General features: G+C 34.7%; 1 protein-coding gene across 1 annotated transcript; it reads left to right on the top strand.

The window, feature by feature from the left end:
- The first annotated feature begins 204 nt into the window (after positions 1-204).
- Positions 205-17190, top strand: CLEC2B (C-type lectin domain family 2 member B). The gene is made up of 5 exons (NM_005127.3): positions 205-354; positions 6986-7060; positions 11922-12085; positions 15075-15178; positions 16151-17190. The coding sequence occupies exons 2-5, from the start codon at positions 6988-6990 to the stop codon at positions 16257-16259; spliced, it is 450 nt and encodes a 149-aa protein (NP_005118.2). The 5' UTR covers positions 205-354; positions 6986-6987; the 3' UTR covers positions 16260-17190.
- The last annotated feature ends 3062 nt before the right edge of the window (positions 17191-20252 follow it).

The raw sequence follows: 20252 nt of genomic DNA, 5'->3' as shown, positions 1-20252 counted from the left end.
GAGAATCCCAGTTGAGAAAGTAAGAAAATATGTGTTTATTCTTCAGCTTTAAATTGTTATATCACAAACTTCCTTCCTCCTTGGCAAGCTTTCTTTTTTGACGAGAAGAAAATTGTAATAAACAACAGTATGACTAATAGATAGTCACATGGTTACTTCCAGTTTGCAAAATGCTATTTATACTTTGAGTTACTCTTCAAAAGTGGTATACCTCTAGTTTGGAGCTGTGCTGTAAAAACAAGAGTAACATTTTTATATTAAAGTTAAATAAAGTTACAACTTTGAAGAGAGTTTCTGCAAGACATGACACAAAGCTGCTAGCAGAAAATCAAAACGCTGATTAAAAGAAGCACGGTAAGAACATTTTTGTTTGTTTAGAATGACCGTTATTTATTGAAATTGTGATGCAGAATGTTAAAGCCTTCGAGAAAAGAATTAAATTTTGTGGTTTCTTTTGTGAAACTAGAAAATTCCTTCTTATAACAAGATTGAGATTTGCATATGACTGTTTTGTCCTAATAAATTCAGACTTACTTTACATTATTTGAATTACAATGGAGAAGGATTAACCATGACTTAAAACTGCTCAAGATTTAGTTTCATTTTTACTAAGTATTTTATAAAACAAATACTTGAGAAGATGATAGATATGATCCAGATACTCATACAGTTCTCAGAATGCATACATAATATGATAAATTTAGCCAATAGTTCTAATATTTTTAAAGATTGCTTTATTGGATGGTGTAAAGATACTCCGGGCTTTAGGAGTACTTAACGGAAAGAATATATCCCTTTCCTACTCTTACTAAGGAATTGCTAGTACTCCGATATCCATGGAGATGTCTTTACCAACCCTAAGAAGGATAAGGAAAGAAAATGTTCTAAAAAATACACTATGAAACAACCTGGTAACATTGGATTTATTAAATAGCAAGTTCGGAATATATAAGATCCAAGCTACATCTTTGAGATTTCAACAGGGTTTATTTATGTCAAAATATTTGAAAGAGAAAAGGCTGAAACTAAATGCATTCAATACAACGATCTATGATTTAGAGATTTAGGGACTGTGATGAGCTTTAAGCATTTCCCGTTTAACTAAATGTCAACCTACCAGCGTATGCTACGGTCAAAAAAATTATTGCTGTGGTACAATAGAATGCACACTTTATCCTTCCTCCCGTATTTTAACCGGTTTTATAATTCTGCCTAAAGTTAGATAAAACAGGTTTGCGGGGAATGAGATCAATATTTGATGGTAGCATAAAATATCATTTTAATCAAAAGTTTTAAGAAGGCCTTCCAGCCACTAGTAAAACCAGTGTTATTTTCTACTTTCAATCAATTGTATAAATTTATACATTTGTATATAAATACATTATATAATACAATATTATATATCATATTACATATGAATATATTTTAAAAGTTACTGAATAATATATTCAGTATAATATTGTATATATTATAGATACATATATATCTGAAATTATGAACATCGTTTTAATAGCGGTAATTTAGGGCAGTGTGATATAATTCAGTCAGTTTTTATATACATTTTAACAAATATTTTATTTGCTCTGCTTATCAGTATTTTATGATTTTTTTCTATAGCTATTAGCCAAGAAAAATAATATTCTGTTTGATTTTAAATGCATTGGTCACTCTGCATCTTTCTTATCTTTCCTTAGAGAGCAGAATCAAACAGAAAACAGTTGAGTCACTGAAACTTTTCTATGGGGAAAACAATTGCAGTCCTTAACTGTTTAGATTATACATTTAAATATAGAACTATTTTAGTTACACTGTTAATTAAATCCATTGTTCTCGAACTGTCTGGGGAAGTGTCCTTTTAAGCATAGCCTCATCAAACGTTAAGAAGGCTCAACAACTTTGAAATTCATGTTTCGATATCAGCTTCATCGTGGGAGATCACAATTTTTTAATTTGTTTGAAAGGCAGCTATGCTAACCACATTCTACCAATGCCACTAATTTTTCTGATAACTCATGTAAATAATTACAGCCTCCTAAATAAGTATTGAGAATTCAGTAACAATGAAAAGATTCTGGGAAATTAAAAACAACTGAAAACAACTTATGCTGAGTGTAAAAAGCTAGATTTCAGGGTTCACGATATAGATTAAGTAGAGAATGAACACATAATAGGTTTAAATTTGTACCTACATATTCAGACATGCAATAAATGTTGAATTCATTAGTTATTTAAATAAAATTAAATGTTACTTCAAGTCTCCATCCCACTGAATGGACAGGACAGTTTACTTACTTTCTGTCATTTGGTGGTATTGAGAGTGAGAGATTTCTTCCAAGGTTATATGAAGTTTCCCAGGTTGTATAAGACACCAAAGTGTTATAATGGTCTCCATTCATCAGTTTCCACTGATTACACCTGAGAAGACCATGTTCCAATATAAATGACCTCTTCGGGTCTAGCTCTGCTATTTTGTGCTGAACTCATAACAAAAGCCACACTGTTTCTTTGCCACATTTAAAGTACGATCATCTTTTTTGAAGCTGGGGTCATCTGTACGTAAAATCTACCAACTCTGTATACACCACCAAGTCCTTATACTCTAATACCTTGCCAACTTTGCAATGGAAAGGGCTCCTATTTTCCGCTGTATCTGCAAATTGTCATTTCTCATATTGTCAGGATGTGCATTGCCCTTCTCTCTACCTGTTAGCTCGAAGTTATTTCCTCTTTTTAAAATCCCTTCACAATTTTCAGAAACATTACTTCAATAAGCTAGATTTTTTTTTAATTGAAAAGGCCATTGATTTAAGCAGCTTAGGGTTTTCTTTTCAACAGTCATTCTGGAAGAAAGAATATCAAAATGGTCTGACTACCTCCTTCAAATAACAGATATGAAATTGACTCAAAAAATACTTCCACTTGCTGCAAATGTAAATAATCTTTACACTCTTAACACACACAAAATAATTAAAATATTTAAAAACAGGACAACTATAACACAAGAAAAAAATAATAGCAAAAGTTACCTTTTATTTACTTCCTGTTGTAACTATACTTTCTAAAAACACAACACACATATGCTCTTTAAAAAAAAATAGAAGTGGTACTAGTTAATGGATGAAGAGTATAGGATCAAATGGGGGTAAGAAAATACAATTACATGCCACAAAGGTTTGATCAAGATTTTGAAATCATGATATCTCTAACATCTATATTTTTACATTATGCCAATTCATGGGGAGAAAAACGGAATGACATACTGACATATTTACTTGATTCATGGCATTGAAAACAGAGAAAAAACTTCCTGTCTTTTCGATACCTGAGGTTTAAAGAAAATTAATAAATAATTCATGATATTAATAAGGTTATATATGAAAGATAAGAAACCTCATCAGAAAGAGCTTGATTTTTTAACACTTCTTTTTTCTACTAATTTGGGGTTTGGTTTGTTCTTGCTCTTACAAATCCTTTAAGTTCATCATTAGGTTATTTATCTGAAGTCTTTTTACCTTTTTTTAAAGGCATTTATTACTATAAACTTCCTTCTTTGTACTGCTTTTCTGCATTCCACAGATTTTAGTTTATTGTGCTTCCATTTTCATTTGTTTCAAGAAATTTTTAAAATTTTCTTAATTTCAACATTGACTCTTTGGTCGTTAAGGAGCACATTATTTAATTTTCATGTTTGTGCAGTTTCTGAGGTTTCTCAAGTTATTGACTTCTAGTTTCATCCCATTGTGGTCAGAAAAGATACTTGATTAGATTTCTACTTTTTTTAATTTATTGAGACTTGTTTTTTGGCCTACAATGTGGTCTGTTCTGGAGAATGCTCCATGTACTGATAAAAATAATGAGTATTCTGCAGCAGTGCTTCTGTACGTGTCAGTTGGATATATTTGGTAAAGTGTGCAGTATAACTCCAATATTCCTTGTTGATTTCCTGTTTAGATTATCTGTCCATTACTCAGGGTGAGGAGTTAAAGTCCCCCAATATTATTGCATTGCAGTCTATCTCTCCCTTTAGATCAATGAATGTTTGCTTTATATACTTGGGAGATCTGGTGTTGGGTCCATAGATTTTTAGAACTGTCATATCCTCTTGCTGAATTGACCTCTTTAGCATTATATAGTAACCTTTGTCTCTTTTTAAAGTAGTCTTTTAAAGTTTTGTAATCTATTTTATCTGATATAAGTATAGCTGCTCCGGCTTTTTTGGTTTCTATTTGCATGGAATATCTTTGTTCATCCCCTTCACTTTCATTCTCTGTGTGTCTTTATAGGTGAAGCAGATTTCCTGTAGGCTGCATACAGTTAGGGTTTTCTCTTTACCAAGTCAGCCACTTTAACTTTATGCTTTTTTTTTTTTTTTTTTTTTGAGAGAGTCTTGCTTTATTGCCCAGGCTGGAGTGGAGTGGCATGATCTCAGATCACTGCAGCCTCCAACTCCTGGATTCAAGCGACTCTCCTGCCTCAGCCTCCTGAGTAGCCAGGATCACAGGCATACACCACCACACCAAGCTAAGTTTTGTATTTTTAGTAGAAATGTGGTTTCGTTATGTTGGACAGGCTAGTCTTGAGCTCCTGACCTCAAATGATCTGCCTGCCTTGGCCTCCCAAAATTCTGGGATTACAGGCGTGAGCCACTGCACCCGGCCTGCACTTTATGTCTTTTAATTGGAGAGTTGAGTTCATTTAAATTCCATGTTATTGTTAAGTAAGGATTTTCTGGGGCTGTTTTGTTGCTTGTTTTATGGTTGTTTTTAAATTTCTCTCTTTTTTCTTTTCTTACTGTCATTCTTTGGGGTTATATAATTTTCTCTGGTGGTATATATTAATTAGTTGCTTTTTATTTTTAATGACTCTACTATAGGTTTTGCATTGTGATTACTATGAGGCTTATAAAAAATCTTATAGATATAACAAGTTATTTTAAAGAGATAACAACTTATATCACAAAGAATAGCAACAAAGGAAAAAAACACTTTTACTCCACCCTCACACATTTTTAATTTAGTTTTCCCAATTCACATATTTTTATTGCTTACCTCTTAACTGGTTTCTGCAGTTATCATTGTTCTTGATAGATTTATCTTCCAGTCTTCATTACTAGGGATATGAGAAGATTGTGCACCACAATTACAGTATTAGAGTATTCTGGGTTTGTGCATACACTTAATTTTATCAGTGTATTTTAGATATTCAGCTGTTTTCTGTTCGTGTGTTTTTTTCTTTTTGGTTGAAGAACTCCCTTTAGCATTTCTTATAAGATATGTCTGGTGGTGGTGAATTCTCTCAGTTTTTGTTTGTCTGGGAAACATTGTCTCTTCTTCATATTTGAAGGTCAGCTTTGCAGGATATGGTATTCTTAGATGGCAGGGTTTTTTTTTTTTTTCAGCACTTAAAAAATGTCATCACTTTTCTCTTGGTCTGTATGGTTTCCACTGAGACGTCTATCATCAGATAAATTGGAGCTCCTTTAAATATTATTTGCTTCTCTTCTCTTGCTGATTTTAGGATCCTCTCTTTTTCCTTGACCTTTGAGAGTTTGATTATTCTATGCCTAGGGGTAGTCTTGTTGGGGTCGGAATCTGTTTGGTGTTCTCTGACCTTTATCTGCCTGAATCTTTATCTCTTTCTCAAGCTTTGTAATACTTTCTGTTATTATTTCTTTGAATAAGCTTTCTACCTCTTGCTCTGGTTTGACTCTCTCTTAAACACCAATAATTCTTAGATATGGTCTTTTGCAGTAATTTTCTACAAGATGTTGGCATTCTTCCTTCCTTTTTATTCTTTTTTTCTCCTTTCCTTGTGTATTTTCAAAAGCCCATCCTCATGCTCACCGATTATTTCTTCTTCTTGATCCATTCTCTTTTGAGAGCCGCTAATAAAATTTTCGGTTCAGCAAATGTATTTTTCAGTTCCAATATCACTTTTTGATTTTTAAAAATTATTTCAATCCCTTTGTTAAATTCCTCTGATATATTTCTGAATTGTTTTTTGTGTTATTTTAGAGACCAGTGAGTTTTCTTAAAACTACTATTTTGAATTCTTGGTACAAGTGCTCACATATTGCCATTTCATTAAGATCTGTCTCTGATTCCGACTTTGTCCATTTAGGGGTATCGCAGTTCCCTGTTTGCTGTTGTTTCTTATGGATATGCATCTATGTCTTTGTGTTGAAGGATTTTATATGGCTTGTTTTGGTTTACATTGAATATGTTTGTTTAAATATTCCTTGTAATTTACCTGTCGATTTTTTTGGGGGTGGGGGGCGGCAGCTAGGTTTCGGCCTCCTTGTTATGACTACATGGTGCCTTAACCCAGGTTTGCCTTGGTTCTAGTAAACAATTAGAGTGCCACTCATACCAAATGAGGGTGCTTCCAAAGGGGATATCCCAGTAGTGTGGGAAGACTGACGAGGTGTTCCAGCCCAGGGGACCTGTGCAACAAACCTCCTATACCATGATGCTGCTCGACAGCCACTCTAAGTTGACATCTCCTTTGGCCAAGTAACAGAGCACAGTTTCTGGTATTGGGGATGGTAGTCCTGCCTCCCCACTTTGTCTCTGCCTGTCCTCGTTCAGGCACCCCGATGCTTCCCAAGTGTTAAGGCAGGGGCAAGTTTCCTGCCAGGAAACTCAAGCTGGTGGGGAAGCTGGTTATCCATCTTGATCTCACTTTTTCCAGTATAGAAATGATGTTTCCATGCCCTTGGGTACCGGAAAGATTGCAGGGAGAGTCCTCATGGATATGGAAGTCTAATTCTCTTATTATCTGTATGGAGTTTTTTGTTGGTTTTTCACTTTCCTGTGGCTCCAGGAATTGTCTTCTTCTCATATTTGAATTCTAGGATATTGCTGGGGATAATCACAGCACTAATATTTTGTTGTTGTTTTCTGTGGGGGACATTAAAGCCAACTTACTTTTATGCCATCATTTTGGAGCCAGAAGTCTCCTAAATGTCTTTATTTTTATTTTTCAGGTATGATGACCAAACATAAAAAGTGTTTTATAATTGTTGGTGTTTTAATAACAACTAATATTATTACTCTGATAGGTAAGTTACATCCTTCATTTTATTTTTCATGGCTTTCTATGTGTGATCCTATTCCTTTCTGTCTCAGTCATGATCTTTTCTCAGTATCTCATTATCTTCCCATTATACATGATAACATTTAATTGGTACAAATGAATAAATTTTATTAATTACATGACCTATGTAAGGCATCAGAGATACCAAAATTATTGTGGTAAAATTATTCACCCTGATAATCTCACTTCTATTCAACACTTTCTTGCCTATGTTAATCACTATCTTGACTTCTATTGCTATAGCTTAGTTTTGCCTACTAAAAAATTTTATATAAATATAATCAAATTTAAATACATATAAAATACAATATACAATTTGCATGTATCATAAATACAGTCATGCAATTTGCATGTATCTTTGTATCTTTTCCCTTTTATTCAACATTATGCTTGTGTGATTTTTCAATGTCATCATAGGTAGCAGAAGTTCATTAACTCACTATTATGGAAAAAGGTTGAAATTTTTTTTATAAAAAGACCCAGATAGTAAATATTTTATGCTTTGTTAGCCATACAGTCTCTGCTGCAACTACTTAATTTTTCATAGAAACACAGTCATAGAAAATGCATAGACATTGACCATGGCTGTGTGTCAATAAAATTGAACATGGAAATGTAAATATTATAAAATTTTATATGTCACAAAATATTGTTCATTTTTAATTATTTTGATTACTTTATTTCTTTTTAAAATGTAAAAATTATTTTTACCTGGTGGTTGTACAAAAACAGAAGGTGAGCTGAGTTGGCCTCAGGCTGTATTAGCGGATGTTTAGTATAGTGCATTCACTGCTATGTATCACTTTTGATGAACATTTGGATCGTGTTACATTTTGACTATTGCAAATTGGGTGGTTGTGAACAACTGTATAATTTTATATTTTTGTCTTTTAATGAATACTGGAAATAACTTGAGATATAAGAAGAATTATTAAGCACAGAATACGCATAGATTAGCTTAAGTGTATTTTACCAAAAATGTAGATAATCTCAGCAGAAGTATATGAGAATTCCAATTGCTCCATGCCATGTCAATACTTTATTGTTGGTTTTATCAATTTTTGCCATTCCAGTGAGTGCATGTTGTTACCCGATTTGGGCTTTAATTGACGTTTTTCTGATGATCAATACTGTTCAGTACCTTCATAATTGTTGTTTATTTAGGTGTAATATTTTGTGATGGGAATGTTTCAATACTTTCCCCATATTTTAGTAAGTTAGCTCTCTTTTTCTGCTTGGTTCATAAGAGTTGTTTAATATTCTAGATGAGACTCTTTGTAGTTTATAGGTATTGCAAATATCTTCTTTAACTATGAAGCTGAAGTTTACCCTCTGTGTCATGTCTTTCAATCGACAGAGCTTCTGAATTTTAAAGTAGTGTAATTGTGTCTTTCTCTATTGTCACTATATTTTTCATTCTAAGAAATTCACTTTACTTCAAAGACATAAAAATATTTTTGTAGGGTTTCTATTTTCCTTTCACTTTCCAAAATATAGTCCTCTTGAAGTTGATTTTTATAAATTTTAGGAGATAGATATTAGGATGCATTATTTCCCATTTAGTTAATCTTTCAACCTGAAATAACTTATTAAAAAGACTATACTTTCCCTACTCAACTGCAGTTGGTCTTTGTCATCAATCAACTGTGTAGGTGAAGGTCATTTTTGCTAAAATTTTATTACATTAATTTACTCTATTTTATCTATCTTTGTATCTATATCATTCTGTCTCAATACTGTTGGTTTATAATTAAGTCTTGATGTCTGGTTGTTTAAATGTTTTAAAAGTTTTATTTTTATTCTTCAAGTTTACCTGGAGCATTTTAGATCCTTTAAGCTGCCATATAAATTATCTGTAATTTTGATTGAGATTGCATTAAACCATAGTCAATTTTCATGGAATCATTATCTTAATATTGAATCATACATTTAAAATATTGATTCGGTGTTCCGTAATTTCTGCCAGCAATTTTTTAGTTTTCAGAATAGATTTCACACACATCCTTTTAAGAATTTTTTAAAGACTCAATGCGCTATAATGCAATTGTAACTAGCATAGAAGTATTTTCATTAACACTATTGTCCTATTTAGTCTCTTGCTGGCCTATAAAAATTATCTATATAAATTTAATATATACCTATATAAGCCTCATATAACAAATTTGCTATAGTTAACTATTCATTTTCATAAATTTTCTTCAGTTTCTTTTGCAAGTTCTATGTAAAAATTTACATTATCTGAAAATAATAATTGTTTTACCTATTCTGTTGGAAACCTTATGCCTTTTTTATTCATTGTATTCTCTTATTTTACTGGCTATAACTTCCAGTATAAGGTTGAGTATAAGTAGTAACAGCTTACATGTTTGTCTCATTCTTAAATCAGTAAAATTTTTTTAATATTTCCCAATTTAGTAGTAGTATTTGCAGATATTCTTAATCAGATTAAAGGTGTTTTATTTACTTCCCTTTAATTTAATTTAAAATATCAAATGCTTTATCTTGATCTATTGAGATACTTTCTTTTCTCTGCTAATATGTAGAACTACACAGATTTTGTAATATTGAGATAAGATAATCTTCAATTTCTGTGATAGATTCAACTTGATCATAACCTATTAACCTTTTAACATTCTTCAATTAAGCTGAATAGTATTTTAAGATATATGCACATATATCCTACGTCTTCATAAAAGATCTACCTATAGTTTCTCTTTCTTTCAATACTATTATCAGGTATTGATGTGATTATGATGGCTTCTAAAATTTGGTTGGAAAGTATTCCCTCCTATCCTATTTTCTGAAAGAGTGTGTATAACGTTGGTGTTATGCCTTTCCTAAACGATTAGAAGTATTTCTAATTGAAGCCATCTGGACAGGGAGATTTCTTTTTGTGCAATTTTTTAAGTTAAAGATTTAATTTTTTAACTAGATATAGTGTTATTTAGATATGCTGCTTTTATCTTGTCAGTTGTGTTAAATTGTGTTCTTCTAGAAATTTCTCTACTTTTTCATTCTTTGTGTTGCTAATTTGTGTTTTTATCTCTCACAGTTACATTTTTTAAAATCAGTTTTCCTAGTGGTCAATCCTGTTTTAGAGTATTCAACAAAAGTCATCTTATGACTTTAAACTTTTCTTCTATTTGGCATTAATTTTTTATTCAATTGATTTCTGTTCTTTTTGTTTTCTAAATTGTGTCTTTCTACTTTGGTTTTAATTTATCACTATTATTAACTTTGTAAGGTAGGATAATTATCTTTTCAAAAAGTCTTTCATCATTTCTAAAACATAATCTTAAGCCAATAAATTTTCCTGTAAGCTTTAAGGGAGTTGCTGTGTCCCACAAGTTTAGTTGAATCCCATAAGTTTGGATGCTACTGTGTTTTGAGAAAGAACATTGAAGACACACAGGATTTTGATGTAAAAGATTATGGTCACAGCAAAATTTGTATATCATATAACAGGTTGAAAAAAATTTATGTCTTGTCATGTTAGGTCAGATGACAGTAGTTTAGGATTTATTAGGGCATTTATATTCCTTTCAACTTCAACTTCAGTGATATATCTTCCTGAAGGCACCAGAATTATTCTATTTGTAAAGGTCATCCTTACCATTTCTGGGTAAATGAACTATAATGAAATCCTAGCATTATCTAAGAGTAACACAAACACTAATTTATATTAGACAGTACATGAGAGAGATATATACACATATGTGTGTATATGTATATATACACCCTTATATGTACACATACCTATATACATATATATATACACACTGTGTATGTATATAAAATTTTATCTTCTATAGACTCTTGGCAGCAGATGACTATAGGTGATAATTTAACTGATTATTTTGCTACTATGCTCCACTGCCATCAGCATTCTATTTATAACTGGTAGTTGGATCAATGCCTTTAAAGTGAATGATATTGAAAAACTAACACCATATCTCATCCTCAAGGTTCTGTTTCCTTAGAATCATGTTTGGTGCCAAAAACTGATTCAGTCTGGGTGTGTTCCAAAATACAAACACATATTATGAGAATAAGGCTTTTATGTAGAAATTAGGGATAACATGAATGTGGGAAGATCTGGAAGTGATGCATAGCTCAAGGCTGGGGCTGTGCTACAAGCTGGAGGAGAAATGGTCACTAATAATATTGGCATAATGCACTCATGCATTTGGAGGAAAGTCTAAGAAGCTAAGATATCTAGCTGCCAAGACTGCAACAGGGGAACACATGGAAAGACCTGTGAAGTTCCTATGCTCATGGTCTCCAGGAATTATATCTTCTGCTTTACTTCCACCTTCCAAATCTCATGTTAGTTCCATTCATTGGCTAAACCGGAGCTATACAGTGATGGTGATTCCTAGCTGACAATAAGCAGTCCAACTTATTTTGTATTTTGCTTTATTATTTTTGTTGCTTCTTTGTAGATTAAATCATGTGTTTAGATTCATTAGTGACTAATACAAATTATTACTTGTATTACTCTTAGGTAATGCTAGGATTTCCTTTTAATTCATTTACCTAGAAATGGTAACGGTAACCTACACAAGTAGAATAATTCTGTTGGCTCCTGGAAGGCCTACGTATCACTGAAGTTGAAGTTGAAAGAAATGCCCTGATAAATCTTAAACTACTGTCATTTGACCTAACATGACAAAGACATAAAATTTTTTCAACTTATCATATAATAGATATACAACTTTCATAGTGACCATAATCTTTTACATCAAAAACCTGTGTCCAGTGATCTCAAAACACAGTAGCATATTATTCTATATGGTACTTAAGATATATATTTGTCTCATTTCCAGTTAAACTAACTCGAGATTCTCAGAGTTTATGCCCCTATGATTGGATTGGTTTCCAAAACAAATGCTATTATTTCTCTAAAGAAGAAGGAGATTGGAATTCAAGTAAATACAACTGTTCCACTCAACATGCCGACCTAACTATAATTGACAACATAGAAGAAATGGTAAGTAATTTAATATACATTCTTTGTGAATTTTCTTGAGTCGGAGCATTAGAAATATTCAAACACCATTATAATCTTGAAGTCTTTTCACTCATGCCTATCTATGCAGAAAATTGAAGATGTTCAGAGTATGCCATGTGACATAAAGGTGAAACACCTAGTGATGCTTTGTTTGAAGAATGTAAGACTAACATCAAGTAGTAGACTTAATACCTATCTTTATATTTTAAAGAGTGTACACAGAAGAGCTTGATAATGTTTGAAAACGTTTTAAGAGCCAATACTCCACCAAGAAAGGAGAATTGTCTGAGGAAGGAGGGGATTCTGCATTCTACTTCCTGAGAGAAACTTTGCTCTGACTTCTCCATTTTGTTTTGCTGCCTGTCTCTGAGGTCCCGTGGCAGCTTCCATTAGAACACTCTCTACCAGTAATGCAATAGAGAGGAAAATCAAAATTTCCTCCTAGACCGGAGTGTAAGTTTTCAGTGAGCAGATACCATGTCTTCTGTGAAATTTTATCCTTAGCATTATGCACAAAGCAGGTACAAATGAAAAGTCTAATGGATCCTTGTTGAATAAATTTTGATTTACATGACAAAATCTCTATGAGTAAAGAGGCTCTCCAAGAACTTTAACAAGGGATTGAAAAACTGCACCTCTACATTCATGAAATTTGTTCTTTCCCCTAGTCATTTATATTGTAAACATACTTACCTTTGTTTGGTCTCTTTAAGAATGAAAAGAAATTATAAGAGGTAATATAACTTGATTAAAAATATTTTTTGCAAATAATTTGCTGTTGAGAAGTGTTTCAATGAAAAGCAGAATAGCACAAGAGTCAACACTGTTAAAAGACAATTGTGTGTTACCCGTGTGGTGAACAAAGTTTATTTACTCAATCTGCCTGAAGATTGGTTCCAATTTAAATGCATGTGAATCAGGCAGAGCCAATTTATAGGTCAGTGAAAGGAAACAAAACTATTTTGCAAGAAAAAAAGGTAGTAAAATGTTGAAAGCTAGATGGATTAGGAGTAGATACTGCAAATCAAGAATTAAGGTGCAAGTTTAATATCATAGGAAGGGCTTCTGTAGTCAATAACGTCACTGCTGAATTTTGCAAGACTTTTGAAAATGAACATTCTGAGAAACACTCTGACTGTTCCTTACAGTTCCTCTTGGGGGAAAGAAAGCTAAACTAGCAGTGAGATGGAAAAATAATGAGTGTTAATAAAATGAAAGATGAAGAAATGTAAAGACAATCAATATTAAAATAAATGTGTCCACTATAGGAATATTGTCAGCAAAGATTGACTAAATAAATAGTGAGGATCATGGAATGTGAAGACCAGAAGTACATAAAAATAATTAGTTTTGAACTTAAGAGAAATCTTCAAATGTATCAGGGAAGAATGCTTGTACTGTTTGGATGAAGAAAAAATACTGATCATAAAATATCCTGATATATTTTGAAGACCATGGATGACTATTATATACTACATACACTGGCAAAATTTAAGTGACAAACAGAATGAAGTAAAGCTGTCTGTGGAGTGGAGAAGAAATTTACATAAGAATTGTAATCGATTATTTAAAATAGTTTAATTTAAATGTGCATTTTAATTACAAAATAATATGAGATAAAGTTTGTCTTACAAAATATTTTTATATCTATTTCCACCTATTTAGAATTATTGCACTTCTAACAAGGGGCTAAAATGGGGCAAGCTTTTATTGAGCAAATAATGTTAACATTTTTCATAGAGCAGGACTAGGAAACACATCTCCCAGTTCTCTGTCACCAAGACCAGTCAAGCTCTCTCCTGAAGCCTTTCCTGAGTCTAGACTATGAATTACCCTCTTCTCCTTGGCCGTCTGCATTTACACGGAATATTCTACTCTTCCCTTAGAGCACATACTGTGTCAAAGTTTCCCTTAAAAACTCATATTTTTTTCCGTAAATTCCAATTTCACATTGTATTGATCACACTGATAACTTTTCCATGTCTAGTAGAATATTTTCTAACATTATGTTTACATTATTTTCCTCACTGTAAATGAAGGCCTTTGAATGTAGGACAATGTTTTTATTAATCTGTTTATTTGTAAAGCCAAAACTTAGCCCAACTAATTATTTTTTTCAAATTAGTTTATGCAATGCTGTGAAGATAGTGTATTGAAATGTCAAAAGTCACAGGTGTCACTGTTGGGGTAGATAGGATTTGACCATAGTGGTGTGATCTGGCCTACCTCCTTTATATTTCTCTTAAATTGAAAAGTAGAGTGATACAGTGTGAATATAGTTTCCAAGCTATTTAGTAGCAGAGTAGCCTCAAGGACTTTCTCATGTAATTCTATGATTAAAGAAAAAGGTCGAGGGTTAAGCAAGGTCGAGGTAAGTTAAACAATGCATCAGAAGAAGAAATGTCAGGAAAAAAAGCATTGTATTTATTTCTGAATGATGTATTTGGAAATTTAAATGTTCAGCAGAAAAATAAAATTTGATAATTAGGTTCTAAAGAAACTGGATATATGAGGATGTGTATGTGTGTGTATTTACCTATGTAGTTTGGGAAGATAAACTGAAGTAAAACATAACACTAAAATGAAGCTACTACTATTTACTGGGAAGTGGACAAATAGTGTAATAAATATGTGGTAATTGGAAATGCTGTGCGAGAGCTCAATTTCAAACTTGTCTTTCTAGGAGCTTACAGTTTGAAAATTGTGAAGGAATAGATATTCAAATTGAACATTTATCAATTTGGAATCATATCTAAAGAAAATGTATCTAACATATTTGTTTCACAAAAAAAACTGAAGGTCAGAGGAAAAATAAAGTACTTTTTCAAAACTCCATAGCTATTTTCTAGTGAGGCCAGGAGTTGAACAATTGTTGCCTTGCACTTCACAACCTACGAAACAAGAGGTACACAGTAGGTTGTCATAAAAATTGGCATGTATGATTTTGAAATTAATTTTGTCTCTAAAGAATTTTCTTAGGCGGTATAAATGCAGTTCTGATCACTGGATTGGACTGAAGATGGCAAAAAATCGAACAGGACAATGGGTAGATGGAGCTACATTTACCAAATCGTGAGTTTATTTTTTTCTGGGATCACTTAAATTTAGATAGTGCAGCCTTCTCTAGGACTTATGCTTTAGCTAAATTTCTCTAGAGCCCAAGAGTTTTGCACATGTTAGAAAGATGGAGGGGGGATTGAATATATATTGAGATTCATGTAAGGAGGCAACCATGAAGGTTGGAAATTAAGATGTAAGGGAACAGATCTCCTAGTTGGCTATTTTGAAAATAAAGACCTGAGATTCATATACACAACTCCCCCCACCCCAATTTAAACTTTTCTCTGATTATAAACTATCCTGTCCAATTATATGACTCTTCTTTAAACTTTTTGTTGACTATTTTCTGATGTCTTTTACAGTTCAATTTCAATTTGACGTTCATTTTCATCTGATTTTATTTGCAATTTCACTGTTATGCAGTTTGTCCTGGACTTCATATCTTTAGCATTATAATTTGGAAAATGTGTGTACACATCCCAAATGGTGACTCTCAGTCACTTAGCCACTTAGTTTATGTTAGTTTCTCAATAGAAACACTACTGATATTTTGTACTGAATACCTCTCTGTCGTGGAAAAGGGGCACTTTTCTTTGTGCATTGTAGGGCATTGGCAGCACCCCTGGATAAACTATCCACCCTACTCACCTCTGCCTCCGCTTGAGACAATAAAAAAAATCCAAATACTGTCAAGTGTCCCTTGGTTTGGAAGCAAAATCACCCCTAATTGAAAACCATTGGTTTATACGAACTGATAGCTCCACTGATTACATGTAACCAACCTAATGCCAGTTTAACATGTACAAATTCTTGGAAAAGAAACTCTTTTGATCCAAATTGGTATAGGTATCTCAACACTAGCAAGAGAGAACTGTGCCATAGTACACCTTGCAGCACTTTAGACAAGTAGAATTTTTGTTTAAAGGTGTCCATGGGCAAGGAAGAAATCACATGACTACATAATGGTTAATCCCTTTGTTGCAGGTTTGGCATGAGAGGGAGTGAAGGATGTGCCTACCTCAGCGATGATGGTGCAGCAACAGCTAGATGTTACACCGAAAGAAAATGGATTTGCAGGAAAAGAATACACTAAGTTAATGTCTAAGATAATGGGGAAAATAGAAAATAACATTATTAAGTGTAAAACCAGCAAAGTACTTTTTTAATTAAACAAAGTTCGAGTTTTGTACCTGTCTGGTTAATTCTGCTTACGTGTCAGGCTACACATAAAAGCCACTTCAAAGATTGGCAAAAAATGGTTACAGGTATTCTGCTGAGTTTTTTTCTTTCTTTCTTTCTCTCTCTCTCTTTCTTTCTTTCTTTCTTTCTTTCTTTTTTTAACTGTAAACCAGAAAACAATTGTGGGGATCAAGGACAGACATAGCACTTAGACAGGACTTTCATGACCCAATATGGAACAATTTGAGTACCAGAATAGGAGATTATGGCCTATTGAACAAAATGTGAAACTGGGAGTCCACAAAGACATAAATGGAAAGATGAAGTACCTCCTGACAGAGCAAGAATGGCACTGAACAATGTTATATGGACAATGGCTATTTTATTCAAGACTATTACAATAGGGAAAAGAGACTAGGACTCAGTCTGAACTGAAATCTGTCAAAACAAAGGGGGGTGGGGCTTTAAGAGTGAAGGTGAGGAGGAGATCACACACCGTATGTGTTTGCTAACTGGCTTTACCCAAAAGAAAATTAAACTTTCTTTGATCTGTACAAGTTGATCAAACAAATGGGGTCATTCTTGTCATATGCAACTAAAACAGGGTAGACAGGCCAGGGGAAAAAGGCACTCAGGGCACACAGCATTGCTTCAAAATATAATTCTCTACAAACCTAGTTGCTAAAACTACCTGTTGTAACCTAAAACCAGTTTTATCTAACAGCTATTAAAACAACCTACTGTGACTGCAAAACTGGTTTTACCCACCACTGTCACACACCAATCAGAACTTGCCAGCTCCTCAAAACTTTACTAGGGCCAATAAACTTTCTTTCAAAACAATACGTAACTTTGTTGTTGTTTTTTTTTAATAACATCTCCAACCTTCGTTTTGTGCTTTAGACAAACCAAAGACCCCCTGGTCCTCGCATTTATGCCAAATTACAATTCTCACCTCTCTAATAAAATATTTTAAGTGTAGAGATCTGTCCCAATATTTTATTTTGATTTTGACCTACTTGGTGTCAAGCTGGGTTCCAAAGCTGACTCAGCTTGGGGAGAATCACTGGCCCACAGAGCTAGGGCATGATGTACTCACACTGGGGCTCACTGACTCACACAGTGGGGTCACTTTTTCTGCAGGTTGCCTCATTTCTCCCTGGTGAATCTCTTGGACTGAACTCCAAATTTTAGTTTGCTTCTGTGTTATCTGGATTTTGGATGAGGAGGAATCTTTCCTCTTCTTGTTTCAGAGACCTCTTTCTCCCTCTGCTTGGAAGATCTTCTGTTAGGAAGGACTATTTTCTTCCTGGCAGAGCTCAGCTGTGAGGTCTGGGTGATGGGATTTCTCTTTTCAGGCTGAAGCCTCATCAAAAGCATTTTTATTTTTTCCTTCAGTTGGAGAAGGCAGCTGATCTTCCTTCTTGGATTTATTCGGCTTTTTCATAATCAGTGCTTGCATTTAATTGGCTTTTGTGTATTTGGCATTAAACAAAATCACCTAGATAAATTAATCACCTAGATAAATGTAGTTACAAATGGATTCTCAAAGTTTAAAGGCATGCCAAGATATTTTTTGTGACTCTAGCTGGTAGCATGTTCAAATATTATAGAGATCATTCAACACTCTATTCTTAGGCCAGGCGCGGTGGCTCACGCTTATAATCCCAGCACTTTGGGAGGCCGAGGCGGGCGGATCACGAGGTCAGGCGATAGAGACCACGATGAAACCCCGTCTCTACTAAAAATACAAAAAAAAAAAAATTAGCCGGGCATGGTGGCGGGCACCTGTAGTCCCAGCTACTCGGAGAGGCTGAGGCAGGAGAATGGTGTGAACCCGACAGAGACTCTGTCTCAGAAAAAACAAAACAAAACAAAAAAACCTCTATTCTTAAATCTAAACTAAAAGAACACAGCTATAAAATTATGCACTCCAAATAAGCCTCCTATATCTTAATCTCAATTGATTGCGTCACCACAAAATACTACCTCAAAGCTAGCTGAGACTCTTTCCTCTCCAGGGCTTTCCTCTTCTAATTCTTCCTCTTTATCTTTCTCTAAGCTAAATTCTTTCCAAACTCCTCAAACATTCTGGCATACTGGTTATTTAAGTAAAAACACTGGAAAGTCAGAAAATATAAAAGAAAATCATTTTTACTTTTATGCTGTTTCTTAAAAGCAAAAGGTGAAATTCCCACGTGAAAGACACTTTTCCTATACTAAAAGGAATAGCAACATTATTATGACCAAAGATAAGTATTTGAGACCAAGAAAATACTGTATGAACCTTGTTAAAATCTTTTGGGGGCCCCCTCACATAATCCTTCACTCATAGGTGGGAACTGAACAATGAGATCACATGGACACAGGAAGGGGAATATCACACTCTGGGGACTGTGGTGGGGTGGGTGGAGTGGGGAGGGATAGCATTGGGAGATATACCTAATGCTAGATGACGAGTTAGTGGGTGCAGCGCACCAGCATGGCACATGTATACATATGTAACTAACCTGCACATTGTGCACATGTACCCTAAAACTTAAAGTATAATAATAAAAAAAAAAGACAAATCCCGTGACAGGTGATAGTTTTATAAAGTGAAGCAAGTTATCACACTGAAGTTTTAGGCTCCTACCCTCCCACAGAGACTGGGAAATAGAGGCTCTATCATGCTTGAGGACTACATTTCAGAGATGGTCCCAGGTCCTTTAGGAAGACATTCCTGGGTTATAAAATCTGTCAGAGGATTTTTAAAAGATTGATATGTCAAAAGGGCAGAGTAAGAATTTACAATTATAAGTTTGCTAAAGTAGATGCTCTAAGAAAAGGGAGGTTAGGGACCTATAATTGAGAAGAAACCTGTTTAGAATGTAACCTCAAGGCCAGGCGCAGTGGCTCACACTTGTAATCCCAGCACTTTGGGAGGCCGAGGCATCCAGATTGCTTGAGTCCAGTTTGGGCAACATGGCAAAACCCCATCTCTACAAAAAATACAAAACTTAGCCAGGCATACTGGTGCATGCCTGCAATTCCAGCTACTTGGGAAGCTGAGGCAGGAGGATCATTTGAGCCCAGGATGCAGAGGTTGCAATGAGCTGAGATCATGCCATTGCACTCCAGCCTAGGTGACAGAGTGAGACCCTGTCTCAAAAAAAAAGAAGAATTAGAACACTGGCAAGGTGGCCAAATAGGAACAGGTCCAGTCTGCACCTCCCAGAGAGATCGACACAGAAGGTGGGTGATTTCTGCATTTCCATCTGAGGTACCCAGTTCATCTCACTGGGACTGGTTGGACAGTGGGTACAGCCCAAGGAGGCTGAGCCGAAGCAGGGTGGGGCATCACCTCAACCAGCAAGTGTAAGGGGTCAGGGAACTCTCTCTCCTAGCCAAGGGAAGCCATTAGGGACTGTACCATGCACTCTGGCCCAGATACTGAGCTTTTCCCACAGTCTTCGCAACCTGCAGACCAGGAGATTCCCTCCAGTGCCTACACGCACCAGGGCCCTGGGTTTCCAGCACAAAGCTGGGCGGCCATTTGGGCAGACACCAAGCTAGCTGCAGGAGTGTTTTCTTTCATACCCCAGTGGTGCCTGGAACACCAGCGAAACAGAACTATTCACTCCCCTGGAAAGGGGACTGAAGCAAGGGAGCCAAGTGGACTGGCTCAGTGGGTCCCACCACCACAGAGCCCAGCAAGCTAAGATCCACTGGCTTGAAATTCTCCCCGGCCAGCACAGCAGTCTGTGCTCGATCTGGGATGCTCGAGCTTGGTGGGGGAAGGAGTGTCTGCCATTGCTGAGGCTTGGGTAGGTGGTTTTACCTTCACGGTGTAAACAATGCCACCGGGAAGTTCAAACTGGGTGGATCCTACTGCAGTTCAGCAAGGCCTCTGCAGCCAGACTGCCCC

Source organism: Homo sapiens, chromosome 12 (assembly GCF_000001405.40).
Source record: "Homo sapiens chromosome 12, GRCh38.p14 Primary Assembly".
NCBI lineage: Eukaryota > Metazoa > Chordata > Mammalia > Primates > Hominidae > Homo > Homo sapiens.
This window is presented reverse-complemented; position numbering and strand designations above follow the sequence as displayed.